Below are 16,499 nucleotides of genomic sequence, written 5' to 3' on the forward strand. Positions count from 1 at the left end.
CCATCAAATATATATAATATATATTATACATAGGTATATAAAGTATAACTATATGTCATATAGATAGGTATATAAAATGTACCTATATGGCCTGTAGGTATATAAAATATGCCATATAGGTATATAAAATATACTTACGCCATTAAATATATATTTAATATACAAATATATTTGTTTTTTTCTATACTGTAACAACATATGTCTGTACATTATTATTATTATTATTATTATTTTTGAGACAGAGTTTCACTCTTGTTGCCCAGGCTAGAATGCAATGGCGTGATCTCGGCTCACTGCAACCTCCGCCTCCCGGGTTCAAGAAGCAATTTTCCTGCGTCAGCCTCCTGAGTAGCTGGGATTACAGGCATGTGCCACCGTGCCCGGCTAATTTTGTATTTTTAGTAGAGACGGGGTTTCTCCATGTTGGTCAGGCTGCTCTCGAACTCCTGACCTCAGGTGATCCACCGCCTCGGCCTCCCAAAGCACTGGGATTACAGGCGTGAGCCACCGTGCCCATCCTACATTTTTTTAAAAACACAAAATTCTGGCCAGACATGGTGGCTCACGCCTGTAATCCCAGTGCTTTTTTTTTTTTTTTGAGATGGAGTCTCGCTCCGTCGCCCAGGCTGGAGTGCAGTGGCGCGATCTCGGCTCACTGCAAGCTCCGCCTGCCGGGTTCACGCCATTCTCCTGCCTCAGCCTCCGGAGCAGCTGGGACTACAGGCGCCCGCCACCAGGCCCAGCTAATTTTTTTTGTATTTTTAGTAGAGATGGGGTTTCACCATGTTAGCCAGGATGGTCTCGATCTCCTGACCTCGTGATCCGCCCGCCTTGGCCTCCCAAAGTGCTGGGATTACAGGCGTGTGCCACCACGCCTGGCCTAATCCCAGTGCTTTTGGAGGCCTAGGCAGGAGGGTCACTTGAGCCCAGGAGTTAGAGACCGGCCTGGGCAATATAGTGAGACCCCCATCTCAAAGCAGAACAACAGCAGAACTTCTGAGCTAGACAGACAACTTTGCTTTGAATCTGACACCAGCTTTGGGAAATACGCTGTGCGCACTGGGCCTTGGTTGACCAACCTTACAAATTGAGCAGATTTAATCAGATGGGGTCAGGAAGTGCTAATTCAGCACAGTAAAAACTCAGCAGATGGAAGCTGCCCACTGGGGTCTGGGGAATCTTGGGGCTGTGGAAGTTAGCCAGCCTTCGACATTATGCACTTTGTACACATCTGCTCAGACCGAAAGAAGGTCCATTTTAAGGCTGGGTGTGTACTAAGTAGGTGGAGGAGGAGGAATTATCTGTGCCTCTTTTTCTTTTCTTTTTTTTTTTTTTTTTTTGAGATGGAGTCTCGCTCTGTCGCCCAGGCTGGAGTGCAGTGGCGCAATCTCGGCTCACTGCAACCTCTGCCTCCCGGGTTCACGCCATTCTCCTGCCTCAGCCTCCCGAGTAGCTGGGACTACAGGCGCCCGTCACCACGCCCGGCTAATTTTTTTTTTTTTTTGTATTTTTTTTTAGTAGAGATGGGGTTTCACCATGTTAGCCAGGATGGTCTCGATCTCCTGACCTCATGATCCGCCCGCCTCGGCCTGTCAGAGTGCTGGGATTACAGGCGTGATCCACCGTGCCCGGCCACCTCTGGAAGCAGCCAGGGCCACACAGTGCACTAGAATATTCCTCGCTGATGGCAGAATATTCTGTGCTGTCCAACTTGGTCACCACCAGCCACGTGTGGCTCTTTGGTGCTTGAAATGTGATTTGTTCAACTGAGCAACTTAAAATTTAATTTTCTTTTCTTTTTTTTTTTTTTTTTGAGACATAGTCTCGCTCTGTCACCCAAGCTGGAGTGCGGTGACTCCATCATAACTCACTGCAACCTCCACCTCCCAGGCTTAAGCAGTCCTCCCACCTCAGCTCCCCGAGTAGCTGGAACTACAGGCATGCCACTACACCCAGCTAACTTTTGTATTTTTTGTAGAGACGGGGTCTCGCCATGGTGCCCAGTCTGGTCTGGAACTCCTGGGCTCAAGTGATCCTCCTGCCTTGGCTTTCCAAAGTACCGAGATTACAGGCATGTGCCACCACGCCCCGCCTAATTTTATTTCAGCGTAGCTAACTTAAATGTAAAAAGTCATATGTGGCTGTGACCCTTGTACTGATGGCTGTAGAACGTGAGGAGTTTTCAGGAGCCAAATGATGGAAGAATGGTCAGCAGGTGGTTGAGAACTATTCCCAGGTTTTAGAGATGATTTAAAATGAGACGGCTGGCCGGGCGTGGTGGCTCACACCTGTAATCCCAGCACTTTGGGAGGCCGAGGCAGGAGGATCACTTGACGTCAGGAATTCAAGACCGGCCTGGCTAACATGGCAAAATCCTGTCTCTACTAAAAATGCAAAAATTAGCCAGGTGTGGTGGCAGGAGCCTGTAGTCCCAGCTACTCAGGAGGCTGAGGCAGAAGATTTGGTTGAAACCAAGAGACGGAAGTTGCAGTGAGCCGAGATTGTGCCACTGCACTCCAGCCTGGGCAACACGGCAAGATTCCATCTAAATAAATAAATACATAAATACATAAGATGAGGCAGCCAAATAAAAAGGAAGGAGATTCTGACCAGGCTACTCACATGGGTGAACCTTAAGGACATTAAGCTCAATTGAGAAAAGCCGGACACAGAAGGACAAATACTGCAAGTCCACTCCTAGGAGGTCCCTAGAGTCGTCAGATTCATAGAGACAGAAAGTAGGTTGGCGGGGTCAGGGGGTGTCGGAGGCTGGGGAGGGGACGGGGAGTGAGTGTTTCATGGGGACAGAGTTTCAGTTTGGGAAGAGTAGAAAGTTCTGGAGAGGATGGTGGCGATGGCTGCATGGCCATTGGAATGTATTTAATGTCCCTAAAGCTGTGCATGGAAAGTTGGTTCAAATGGTAAATATTATGCATATTTTACCACAATAAGAAATTAAATTAAAAATTAAAATGAGATGGCATAGATTTATAGCATATTATTTTTAAAACTAAACTAATTTTGGCCAGGCATGGTGGTGCTCACCCATGGTTCCAATTACTCGACAGTCTGAGGTGGGGGGATTGCTGGAGCCCAGGAGGTCCAGGCTGCAGTGAGCCATGATTGTGCCACTGCACTGCAGCCTGGGTGACAGAGCAAGACCCTGTCTCAAAAACAAAATTAGGCCGAGCACAGTGGCTCACACCTGTAATCCCAGCACTTTGGGAGGCTGAGGCACGCGGATCACTTGAGGTCAGAAGTTTGAGACCAGCCTGGCCAACTTGGTGAAACCCCATCTCTACTAAAAATACAAAAATTAGCTGGGCTAATTAAAATTAGATTAGAAAATTAGATTACAGGTGGCACACACCTGTAATCTCAGCTACTTAGGAGGCTCAGGCAGGAGAATCACTTGAACCCGGGAGGCAGAGGCTGCAGTGAGCTGAGATCGCACCATTGCACTCCAGCCTGGGCGACACAGCGATACTCTGTTCCAAAAAAAAAAAAAAATTTAATTTAATTAAAAAACACATAAATTCCTAGGACTATAGGAAAAGAAGAAAACTTCCTTAACCCAAGAAAGGGAACTACAAAACCCCACAGCTAACCCCGTACTTAGTGGTGAGAGGCTGGATGTTTTCTCCCGAGATCAGGAACAAGACAAGGACACCACTTTCCCCATTTCTATTGAACATTGTACTGGAAGTTCTGCCAGACCAATAAGGCAAGAAAAGAGGCTGGACGTGGTAGCTCACACCTGTAATCCCAGCACTTTGAGAGACCAAAGAGAGTGGATCGCTTGAGCCCAGGAGTTCCAGACCAGCTAGGGCAGCATCGCGAAAACCCGTATCTACAAATAATACAAAAATTAGCCAGATGTGGTGGCGTGTACCTGGGGCCCCAGCTACTTGGGAAGCTCAGATAGGAGGATGGCTTGAGCTCAGGAGTTCAAGACTGCAGTGAGCCGTGATTGTGCCACCTTACTCCAGCCTAGGTGACAGAGCAAGATCCTGTCTCAAAAACGAAGAAGAGAAAGAGATCAGCCTGGCTATCATGGTGAAACCCTATCTCTACTAAAAATACAACAAAAATTAGCTGGGCGTGTGGGCGTGGTGGCACGTGCCTGTAATCCCAGCTACTTGGGAGGCTGGGAATTGCTTGAGCCCGGGAGGCGGAGATTGCAATGAGCTGGATCGTGCCACCGCACTCCAGTCCTGGCAACAAGAGAACAAGAGCGAGATTCCATCTCAAAAAAATAAATAAATAAATAAATAAATAAATAAAAGATACAAAATAACACCATCAAAGACAGTACCAATAGCGATATTAATCAAATAGCAATAGTAGTGAAGCTGCCCTCTGCCTGGTGAAGCACTCACTATGGCAGCCATGGTTCTGGGAGTTTTATTAATAATTCATTCATCACCTTTTTTTTTTTGAGATGGAGTCACTCTGTCGCCCAGACTAGAGTGCAATTGGCCCGATCTGGGCTCACTGCAAAATCCGCCTCCCGAGTTCAAGAGATTCTCCTGCCTCAGCCTCCCAAGTAGCTGGGATTACAGGTGCCCACCACCACGCCCAGCTAATTTTTGTATTTTTAGTGGAGACGGGGTTTCACCATGTGGGGCAGAATGGTCTTGAACTCCTGACCTTAGGTGATCCACCCACGTTGGCCTCCCATAGTGCTGGGAATACAGGCGTGAGCCACCGCGCCCAGCCAATGTTTCATTCATTACCATCTTGTCCCTCATAAACAGCTTCCAAGAGGGGGTGCTATAGTTGTGTCCATTTCACAGATGAGAAGAGTGAGGCGCGGATGCATCCGAGGCCCCGCTCCCTGGCTGCCCGATTCGCAAGCTCATGCTGGGAGCCACCGTGGGGCCTGACACTTAGTAGGTGCCCAAGAAACATTCTCCCTTCCCAGGGAAACACCCGGATGCCAGCTGGGCACTGCGGCCTGCTGAGACGCCAGCTGGGCACTGCAGCCTGCTGAGTCTGTGTGGGCTCTGGTTCCGGAAGAGGGTCCTGTGCCCACGGCCTGGCGCCCGGACGGCCGGCTGCCCAGGCTGGGTCCTTCCCAACGTCATGGCCACCGGTGCCCAGCCTTGAGACAGTCCAAAGGGAACTGGCCAGCTCCGAGGGGCCGCTGGCAGCCCCAGCCTGGGATCGGCTGCAGGGCTTGGGGCCGAGCTGGGCACACTCCCCTCGGCTGCTGTCCAGCCCAGATGGCCACGGCCGGGGCAGCCTAGCTGGAGGAAGGGCTTCTCTCGTCTGCTCCTCTGTTTCCTGACGAGGAAACTGAGGCACCGGGCCCTGCTCCTGTGCTGTTCATGGCATCCTTGGTCTTGGCAATCAGTGGGTGCTGGACACACGGTGTGTGCATAGCCATTAGCACGGCGCCAGGCTAACTCCAGAGGCTCCGTGCGCTAGGAAATATCATTGCTTTGATCATTCTCACAGCAACCCTGAGAATGGTCTCCATTTATTTTTTTAAAACAAGGTCTTGCTCTGTCACTCAGGCTGGAGTGCAGTGGCATGATCACAGCTCACTGCACCCTTGACCTCCCAGGCTCAAGTGATCCTCCTGAGTAGCTGGGACTACAGGTGCCTGCTACCATGCCTGGCTAATTTTTTTTTCTTTTTTGTTGAGATGGAGTTTTGCTCTTGTTGCCCAGGCTGGAGTGCAATAATGGCGCGATCTTGGCTCACCGCAACCTCCGCCTCCGGGGTTCGAGCGATTCTCCTGCCTCAGCCTCCCGAGTAGCTGGGATTACAGGCATGCACCACCATGCCCGGCTAATTTTGTATTTTTGGTAGAGATGGGGTTTCACCATGTTGATCAGGCTGGTCTCAAACTCCTGAGCTCAAAGTGATCTGCCCGCCTCGGCCTCCCAAAGTGCTGGGATTACAGGAGTGAGCCACTGCACCTGGACTGTTTTTTTGTATTTTTTGTAAAAACGGGGTCTCACTATGTTGCCCTGGCTGGTCTCGAACTCCTGGCCTCAAGCGATCCTCCCGCTTCGGCCTCCCAAAGTGCTGAGATTACAGGCGTGAGCCACTGTGCCACTGCCCCTGGCTTAATCATCATCTCATTTTGCGGATGAAGAAACTCAGGCCTTGAAAGGAAAGTGAGGCCGGGCGCGGTGGCTCACGCCTGTAATCCCAGCACTTTGGGAGGCCGAGGCGGGCGGATCACCAGGTCAGGAGATCGAGACCATCCTGGCTAACACGGTGAAACCCCGTCTCTATTAAAAATTCAAAAAATTAGCCGGGCGTGGTGGCGGGTGCCTGTAGTCCCAGCTACTCAGGAGACTGAGGCAGGAGAATGGCGTGAACCCAGGAGACGGAGCTTGCAGTGAGCCGAGATCATGCCACTGCACTCCAGCCTGGGCGACAGAGCGAGACTCTGTCTCAAAAAAAAAAGGAAAGTGACCTTCTCAGGAGCACAAAGACCCGGGGGGTCTTGGAGACAGTACTTGGCTCAGGTGTCTGATCCCAGCACAAAACTGTAGATAAAATAACCCTGGTGAAAAAGCCCATCACAGGGCCTGGGAGGGAGAACATTGCTCGTGGTTCTGACCCGCAGCTTTCCTTGTTTATGAAATGGATACAGCCAGGCATGGTGGCTCACGCTTGGCATCCCAGCACTTTGGGAGGCCGAGGCGGGCGGATCACCTGAGGTCAGGAGTTCGAGACCAGCCTGACCAACATGGTGAAACTCCCGTCTCTACTAAAAATACAAAAATTAGCCAGGCGTGATGACGCGCGCCTGTAATCTCAGCTACTCTGGAGGCTGAAGCGGGAGAATCACTTGAACCCGAGAGGTGGAGGTTACAGCAAGCCGCGATCGCACCACTGCATTCCAGCCTGGGAGACAGAGTGAGACCCTGTCTCAAAAAAATAAAAATAAATAAATAAAATAGAAGAAAGTAATAATGGGGCGGACTCTCGTGATTGAGGTCTCCAAATGCCCTCAAGTGCTTCAGGAGTATCCTCTCCTCACTGCCTCCCAGCTCTGCTAAGGCCTGGGCAGTGTTTGTGCCCACGTGGAAGATGAGAAACAGGCTCAGGACAGTTAGGCGACTTGCCTGAGGTCACACAGCGATCGCGTCCTGGCCTTGGGGTCTGGCGGGTGGGCAGGAGGGGCGTGATTCTCTTCCTGCGGCTTTCGACGTTGGTTGCTGCCACCTTCGTCTTTGACCTGGGTGATCCATGGGTGGGGCTGGGGAGGGGCGTCTGCCTGGCTGGGCTTGTCCACCTGCCCCCCAACTTCAGCCCTCCGTGGAGGGGTCAGGGCTCCAGAGGGGGCGGATGTGACTCGTCCTGCATCCAGGCTGCCAGAGCCGATAACGCTGAGCTCAGCGTCTGTCTGCCTGCGCGTCTGCCAAGGAACCTAATTATTTTTAGATAAGATGGAGGGGCGGGCGCCGGGGCAGAGGGAGCACCCAAGCTGGGCGGGCAGTGGGGTCGTCGCCATCAGAGAGACCACCCCTCAGCCTCCTCTCTCTGGGGTCCCTGAACGGCAACCCAGGACTAACAGCCGGGTCCCTGGGACTACAGGGGCAGAGGCTGAGGCTAAGGGACGTGACGTCTCCAGGACTCACCTCTCTGGTCCTCAGTTTCCCCATCTGTAAAACGGACATAGTGATAGACCTCCTGCATAGGGCTAAGGCGGGGCTGAATGACTGAACCTCATTTTATTTTATTTATTTTGTTTTATTTATTTTATTTTATTTATTTTGAGACGGAGCCTTGCTCTTGTCGCCCAGACTGGAGTGCAGAGGCATGATCTCCACTTGCTGCAACCTCTGCCTCCCGGGTTCAAGCGATTCTCCTGACTCAGCCTCCTGAGTAGCTGGGATTCCAGGAGCGTGCCACCATGCCCGGCTAATTTTTATATTTTTAGTAGAGACGGGGTTTTGCCATGTTAGCCAGGCTGGTCTTCAACTCCTGACCTCAAGTGATTTTCCTGCCTTGGCCTCCCAAAGTGCTGGGATTACAGGTGTGAGCCACCGTGCCTGGCCGTTTTGTTTTATTTTTTTGTTGTTGCTTAATTTCATTTTCTGAGATGGGGACTTGCTATGTTGCTCAGGCTGGCCTCCAACTCCAGTCGCCCAGACTGGACTGCAGTGGTGCAATCCTGGCTCACTGCAACCTCCGCCTCCGAGGCTAAAGCGATTCTCCTGTCTCAGTCTCCCAAGTAGCTGGGATTACAGGTACGCATCACCACACCTGGCTAGTTTTTGTACTTTTAGTAGAGATGGGGTTTCACCATGTTGGCCAGTCTGGTCTCAAACTCCTGACCCTGACCTCAGGTGATCTGCCTCCCTTGGCCTCCCAAAGTGCTAGGATTACAGGCGTGAGCCACCGTGCCCGGCCTGAACTTCATTTTACAGATGAGGCTCAGAGAAGGCAAGCGACTTGCTCAGGGTCGCACAGCAAGAAAGCGGCACAGCTGGGATTTGAACATCAGTCTGTTAAGATTCCAGGTGTCTAAGTTCTTACCCACGACTGAGCCGCCCCTGCAGAAGCGGAGGGCTTACCCAACATACGGGTACACTGGCGCTCACAGGGCCTAGCTGGTGTCTGCAGGGTGCCTGGCCAGATGTCTGTGACCCTCTAGGGCAGCAGCCAAGGGAAGGGCCCAAAGAGAGACCCCAGGGCCTGGGTGTGTTTTGGGGCCACTGTTTGTCTCCATAGCACTGGCCCAGCCCAGGACTGGGGCCACCAGCATCGACACTTCATCTGCTCCTGGGGTGGGGTCTCTGTGATGCCACCAGTGTTTCTTCCCTCTCTTTGCAGATGCAGAGCAAAGCGGCAGTCCCCGGACAGGGATGGGCTCTGACCAGGAGGACAGCAAGCCCATCACGCTGGGTGAGTCTGGGGGCAGCGTGGCGGTGAAGGGCGGAGGGCGCAGCCCTGTCCTCGTCTTTTATTTGGGAATCATTTGCTTGGCACCACTCGTTTTACAGATGAGCAGACTGAGGCTCGGAGAGGTTAAGGGGCCTGTCCAGGGGCTACCAGGGAGCTGGGTTGGAACCCACGACTCTGAGCTCCCAGCTTCTGGGCTCTGAGGTGCTCACCCCATGGGAGACCCCAGAGGGTTCTACGGTCCCATGGGACGTTTGAGGGTTTTTGTTTGTTTTGTTTTGTTTTCATTCATTTATTTATTTTGAGATGGAGTCTCGCTCTGTCATCCAGGCTGGAGTGCAGTGGCACAATCTCAGCTCACTGCAAGCTCCGCTTCCCGGGTTCAAGTGATTCTCCTGCCTCAGTCTCCCAAGTAGCTGGGATTACAGGTACCTGCCACCACACCCGGCTAATTTTTGTATTTTTAGTAGAGACGGGGTTTCACCATGTTGGCCAGGTCGGTCTTGAACTCCTGACCTCAGGTGATCCGCCTACCTCGGCCTCCCAAAGTGCTGGGATTACAGGCATGAGCCACCGTGCCCGGCCTGTTTGTTTGTCTTAGAAACGGTCTCACGCTGCTGCCCAGGCTGGAGTGCAGTGACACCATCCTAGCTCACTGCAGCCTGGACCAGCTAGGCTCAAGCGATCCTCCTGCCTTAGCCTCTCAAGTAGCTGGGACTACAGGTGTGCACCACCATGCCTGGCTTTTTTTTTTTTTTTTTTTTTTTTTTTTTTTTTTGAGATGGAGTATCACTCTGTCGCCCAGGCTAGAGTGCAGTGGCGCGATCTCGGCTCACTGCATCCTCCATCTCCTGGGTTCAAGCAACTCTCCTGCCTCAGCCTCCTGAGTAGCTGGGATTACAGGTGTGTGCCACCACGGCTGGCTAATTTTTGTATTTTTAGTAGAGATGGGGTTTCACCATGTTGGCCAGGCTGGTCTCAAACTCCTGACCTCGTGATCCACCCACCTCGGCCTCCCGAAGTACTGGGATTACAGGCATGAGCCACCGCGCCTGGCTTTTTTTTTTAATTTTTTAAATATTTTTGTAGAGACAGAGTCTCACTATGTTGCTCAGACTGGTCTCAAACTCCTGAGCTCAAGTGATCCTCCTGTCTTGGCTTCCCAAAGCGCTGGGATCATAGGTGTGAGCCACCACACCCAGCCCTCATGGGGCGTCTAATAGATGGGTAGGACAGTGTAATTCTATGTTGTAGGGATAGGAAGTGGGAAAATTAACCTCACTTAGACCAGAGCAGTCACTTCCATCCTAGCCCCCAGCTCCTGCCCTTGGCCCCCACCATTTGTCCTTCTCACTATGGCCAGAGGACACCTGTGAGCCCCCAAGTCAGGGCCCGTCCCTCCTCTGCGCACAGCCATCCACGGCTCCCACCTCTCTTGGGGTAAAAGCCCAGGTCCTCCCTGTGGCCCACAAGGCCCTGCACAACCTGTCCCATCCCTGCCCTGTCCTCCCCTCCTCCCTCTCTCCCCGTCGTCCACTCCCAGCCACACAGACCTCCTCGCCGTTCCTCCAGTGCACCAGACCCAGTCCTGCCTCAGGGCCGCTGCACATTCTGTTACCTCTGTCTAAACAGCCAACTAACTGCTCGCTTGTTCTCTCCAGATCTCCCCTGGTCTCAGCTCAAATGCCCCCTTCTCAGAGAGGTCTACCCTAAACCCCTTCAGCATAAGCAGCCTCTGGCTACCCTCAATCTTTTTTTTTTTTTTTTTTTGAGACAGAGTCAGGCTCTGTCGCCCAGGCTAGAGTGCAATGGCGCAATCTCGGCTCACTGCCATCCCCGCCTCCTAGGTTCACGCCATTCTCCTGCCTCAGCCTCCCGAGTAGCTGGGACTACAGGCGCCCACCACCACACCCGGGTAATTTTTTGTACTTTTAGTAGAGATGGGGTTTCACCGTGGTAGCCAGGATGGTCTCGATCTCCTGACCCTGTGATGCACCCGCCTCGGCCTCCCAAAGTGCTGGGATTACAGGCATGAGCCACCGCGCCCAGCCTGGCTACCCTCAGTCTCAGCCCTCTGTTTTCTTTCCTTCAGAGGAAGTTAGTGATTGCCTATGGATTTGCTTAGTTGTTTAGTGACTGCACGGGTGTCTGCTCATCTCCCCAGTGGAATGTCACCTCCTCCAGGGCAGAGGCTTTGTCTGTCTACATCTCTGTTGTGCCCTCAGGGCTTAGAATGGGGCCTGATGCAGAGTGGGTGCTCAATAAATACTTGTAGAAAGAAAAGAAGGAGAGAGGGAGGGATGAAGCAGAGAGAAGAAGACAAGAGAGGATATATGGGGAGAGGAAGGAGGAGAGATGAAAAAGAAGGAAGGGGCCAAGTGCGGTGGCTCACGCCTGTAATCCCAGCACTTTGGGAGGCCAAGGCAGGTGGATCACCTGAGGTCAGGAGTTCGAGACCAGCCTGACCAACATGGTGAAACCGTCTCTACTAAAAATACAAAAATTAGTCGGGCATGTTGGCACACACCTATAATCCCAGCTAGTCGGGAGGCTGAGGCAGGAGAATCGCTTGAACCCAGGAGGCAGAGGTTGTGGTGAGCCGAGATTGTGCACCCTGGGCGACACAGCGAGACTCTGTCAAAAAAAAAAAAAAAAAAGAAGAAGAAGAAAGAAGGAAAGAAAGAAAGAAAAGAAAGAGAGAGAGAAAAAGAAGGGCCGGGTGCGGGGGCTTACGCCTGTAATCCCAGCACTTTGGGGGACTGAGGTGGGTGGATCACCTGAGGTCAGGAGTTTGAGACTAGCCTGATCAACATGGAGAAACCCTGTCTCTACTGAATATACAAAAATTAGCCAGGCGTGGAGGCACATGCCTGTAATCCCAGCTACCCGAGAGGCTGAGGCAGGAGAATTGCTTGAACCCGGGAGACAGAGGTTGCAGTGAGCTGAGATCGCGCCATTGCACTCTAGCCTGGGCAACAAGAGTAAAAACTCCGTCTCAAAAAAAAAAAAAAGAAAAGAAAAGAAAAAGAAGGAAGGGGCCAGGGCGCAGTGGCTTACACCTGTAATCCCAGTACTTTGGGAGGCCGAGTCAGGTGGATGACCTGAGGTCAGGAGTTCAAGACCAGCCTGGCCAACATGGCGAAACCCCATCTGTACTAGGAGGACACGGGAGGCTGACGCAGGAGAATTGCTTGAACCCAGGAGGAGGCGGAGGTTGCAGTGAGCCGAGATCACGCCACTGCACTCCAGCCTGGGGGATAGAGTGAGACTGTCTCAAAAAAAAAAAAGGAAAGGAAAAGAAGGAAGGAAGAGAAAGCGAGTGGGTGAGGCGTCCTTCTTGGAAGGACCGGAACAGGCATGCACAGGGAGGCTGGAAGGTTCTCGGAGGTTCACAGGCCTGAGGCCACTCCTCACTGGCCCCCGGTGACTCCTCCGTCTGTGACCCGGGTCCTCCGCGGCCTCCTGTGATCCCCAGACGCCTCTCTCCAAGCCAGATGTTGGAGGGAGGTGGGGGCAGCGGCGCTTGGCCTGGTCCCCTGGGGAGCTTGGGCGTCTGGTAGAGGAAATCACGTCCTCCCAGCTCGCCAGGGAGTCCCCCAGAGATGGAGCTGAGCAGGCGCTGCACAAACAGGAAACCCCGGTCGGGGGAGGCGGAGGGGGCGTGCTGACACCAGCTGGCCAGCTGGGTCAGCAGGAAACGGCTCTGGCCACTTCTCCTGGACACTCGGGGGCCACCGCTCTGTCCTCTTCAGAATGCGTGGCCCTGAACCTCCCAGCGCGGGGCAGGGTTGGTTCATTGCCTTCACTCAGCAAATGACTGTAACAGGGGGCCGGGTGCGGTGGCTCACGCCTGCAATCCCAGCACTTTGGGAGGCTGAAGCGGGAGGATCGCTTGAGCCCAGGAGTTCAAGACCAGCCTGGGTAATATAGCAAGACCCTATCTCTACCCAAAAAAAAAATATACACACACACACACACACACACACACACACACACACACTAGCCCCAGGAGTTCAAGACCAGCCTGGGTAATATAGCAAGACCCTATCTCTACCCCAAAAAAAAAAAAAAAAATATATACACACACACACACACACACACACACACACACACACACACACTAGCCAAACACGGAGGTGCATGCCTGTAATCCCAGCTACTTGGGAGGCTGAGGTGGGAGGATCGCCTGAGCCCAGGAGTTTGAGACCAGCCTGGGTAACATAGCAAGACCCTATCTCTACAAAAAGTAATAATAATAATACAAAAATTAGCCAAGGGTGGTGATGCGTGCCTGTAGTCCCAGCTACTTGGGAGGCTGAGGCAGGAGCATCACTTCAGCCCAGGAGTTCGAGGCTGCAGTGAGCTATGATTGCACCGCTGCACTCGAGCCTGGGCAACAGAGCAAAATTCTGTCTCTAAAAAAGAAAGATTGTAACAGGGGGACTGGCGGGGGTTTGGGTCTGCAGAACTGGACACAGCCCTGAGCTCCCTGCAGTCCGTGCTGCCCCCTGGGGGCCGGGAGAGGAACTGCTCCCACCGCCACCCAAAAGCCAAGAGCCTGTCCCACCTCCAAACCTACCAGGCTCCCTGGCTCTTTCCACTCCAACCCTGCTGGCCTGCAACTTGCCAAGTGCATTTCTACCCGGAGGCCTTTGCACGGGCTGTTCCCAGTGCCGGGAACATCGTGGCCCTCAGGGAGGTGATGAAACATCATCCCCATCGGAGAAGCCAACAGTCACGGGGCGGTTGCCAGGCGCTGTTCTCGGAGCTTTGCAGATTTTAACAAGTTCCTTCCTCTTATCCAGTCTCATCTTGAGGTCTGTAAAATGCCACCATCTCGGTCAGGCTTTCTCTGAGCCCTGGGTGTAAAATAGCCTCCCTCCCCACCCTAGCTAGTTCCCCACCAGCCGCCTGCCTTACCACAGGCTGATGCACCTCGCATTTGACTTAATGAGCTTTTAATTTGTAGTAAAATGTGCATGATGTACAATGCATCATTTTAGCCATTTTTAAGTGTCCAAGTCAAAGTGCACTAAGTACATTCACCTCTATCTAATTCCAGAACCTTTCTTTTTTTTTTTTTTTACCCCCAGGCTGGAGTGCAGTGGCGCAATCTCGGCTCACTGCAACCTCCACCTTCCTGGTTCAAGCAATTCTCATGGCTCAGCCTCCCAAGTAGCTGGGATCATAGGCACATGCCACCACACCCGGCTAATTTTTTGTATTTTCAGTAGAGATGGAGTTTCACCATGTTGGCCAGGCTGGTCTCGAACTCTTGACCTTAAGTGATTCTCTTGCCTCAGCCTTCCAAAGTGCTGGGATTACAGATGTGAGCCGCCGAGCCTGGCCTAATTCCAGAACATTTCATCCCCCCTAAAAGAAACCCCATCCCCATCAGCCACCACTCCCTGTCTCCTCTCCCAGCCCTGGTGCCCACGCATCCCCTTCTTGTCTCTGTGGCTTGGCCTGTCCTGGACATTTCAGTGAAATGGCTCATGCCTGTAATCCCAGCACTTTGGGAGGCCAAGGTGGGTGGATCATGTGGTCAGGAGTTCGAGACCAGCCGGACCAAGATGGTGAAACCCCGTCTCTATTAAAAATCCAAAATTTAGACAGGCACTGTGGCAGGTACTTGTAATCCCAGCTACTTGGGAGGCTGAGACAGGAGAATCGCTTGAACCTGGGAGGCATAGGTTGCAGTGAGCCAAGATTGCGCCACTGCACTCCAGCCTGGGCGACAGAGTGAGACTCCGTCTCAAAAAAAAAAAAAAAGAAAAGAAAAAGAAAGAAAGAAATGGCATCACACACTGTGTGGCCTTTTGTCTCTGGTGTCCCTCACTGAATGATGTCCTCAAGGTGCATCCATGTTGTAGCCTGTGTCAGAGCCTCGTTCTTTTATTTTTATTTATTTACTGGTTTTGAGATGAAGTCTCACTCTGATGCCCAGGCTGGAGTGCAATGTCGCGATCTCGGCCTGTAGCTGGGACTACAGGTGCCCGCCACCATGCCCGGCTAATTTTTGTATTTTTAGTAGAGATGGGGTTTCACCATGTTGGCCAGGCTGGTCTTGAACCCCTGAGCTCAGGTGATCCACCTGCCTCAGCCTCCCAAAGTGCTGGGATTACAGGTGTGAGCTACCACTACTGCGCCCAGCCCAAGGCCTCATTCTTTTTCTTTTCCTTCTTCTTTTTTTTTTTTTTTTTTTTTTTTTTGAGACAGGGTCTTGCTCTGTCCCCGAGGCTGGAGTGCAGTGGTGCAATCATAGCTCACTGCAGCCTCAACCTCCAGGGCTCGAGCTATCCTCCCGCCTCGGCCTCCCAAGTAGCTGGGACTACAGGTGTGCACCACCACGCCCAGCTAATTTTTGTACTTTTTGTAGGGATGGGGTTTCGCCATGTTGCCCAGTCCCGTCTCAAACTCTGGGGCTCAAGTGATCCACCTGCCTCAGCTTCCCAAAGTGCTGGGACTATAGGCACAAGCCACCATACCCAGCTAATTTTCGTATTTTTTGTAGACACAGGGTTTCGCCATGTTGCCCGGGCTGATCTCAAACTCCTGAGCTCACGAGATCCACCCACCTCAGCTTCCCAAAGTGCCGGGATTACAGGCATGAGCCACCACGCCCGGCATCCTTTTCACGGCTGAGTCCTATTCCAGTGTGTGGCTAGACCACGCTGTGTTTATCTCTTCATCTTTTGAAGGGACATTTGGGTGGCTTTCCAGTTTGAGCTGTGGTGAACAGTGCTGCTAGGAACATTCGTGGACTTTTGCTGACCTATTAATCTTGGCTGCTGTCTGTCGCTCACACTGGACTTTGAGTCTCACAGGGGCAACTGCTTCAGCCTGTATCATCTCCTGCTGTGCCGGGGCCCAGCTCAGAATCAGACACTGTGGATGCTTAGTAAACGCCTGTTGAGTCCATGAATCCCTCCTACAAGGGCGTCCGAGGGCAGGACAGGGCTGTCCCCAAGCTGTCTGAGGTTGGCCAAGGCTCCCGACCTCTCGGGGACAACTTCGATTTCCAAATCTGTGAAATGGGTCCAAACCACTCCAGTCGAGAGGACAGTCTCCCTTCCTTTAATATTAGGTAGGAGCAATGCTGGGGACACTGAGGGTTTTAACTGCGGCTTGTGGGCCTCCCATTCAACCCCCCATTTTAACTGACCCATTGCTGGGTGCCAAGCTCTGGTCTAGGCACGAAGGACACTGCAGGGTCGGGGCAGACAGACATCCCTGCCCACACGGACCTCCCAGTCTGAAGGGGAGAAGAACAAGAAGCCAGAGTATCTCGAAGGGTGACAGTGTGTAAAGCAAGCCAGCTGCCCCTCCCAGGCAGTTGGATACAGATCTCACGACAACCCCGATGATGGGATTGATGGTTTCACTTTTGCAATTAGGGAAACTTGGAGGCTGAGAGAGGGAAAGTGACCTGCCCCAGATCACACACCGAGGCAGGTGATGGAGCCGATGTGAGCCCAGGCCTCCGCTTTCCGCTCTTTTTTTTTTTTTTTTTTGAGATGGAGTCTTGCTCTGTTGCCCAGGCTGGATGGAGTGCAGTGGCGCAATCTCGGCTCACTGCAAGCTCCACCTCTCGGGTTCACACCATTCTCCTGCCTCAGCCTCCCAGG

General features: G+C 52.5%; 1 protein-coding gene across 5 annotated transcripts in view; it reads left to right on the forward strand.

Moving 5' to 3' along the window:
* The window catches only part of NFIC (nuclear factor I C), a 109,588-nt gene that overhangs the window by 56,674 nt on the left and 36,415 nt on the right, over nt 1–16,499 (forward strand). For all 5 annotated transcript variants that reach the window (NM_205843.3, NM_001245005.2, NM_001245002.2 and 2 more), the window contains exon 3: nt 8,803–8,874. In NM_205843.3, the coding sequence (NP_995315.1) occupies nt 8,803–8,874 (72 nt within the window). The remainder of the gene's footprint in view (nt 1–8,802; nt 8,875–16,499) is intronic.

The sequence above is a fragment of the Homo sapiens genome, chromosome 19, assembly GCF_000001405.40.
Source record: "Homo sapiens chromosome 19, GRCh38.p14 Primary Assembly".
NCBI classification, from domain to species: Eukaryota; Metazoa; Chordata; class Mammalia; order Primates; family Hominidae; genus Homo; species Homo sapiens.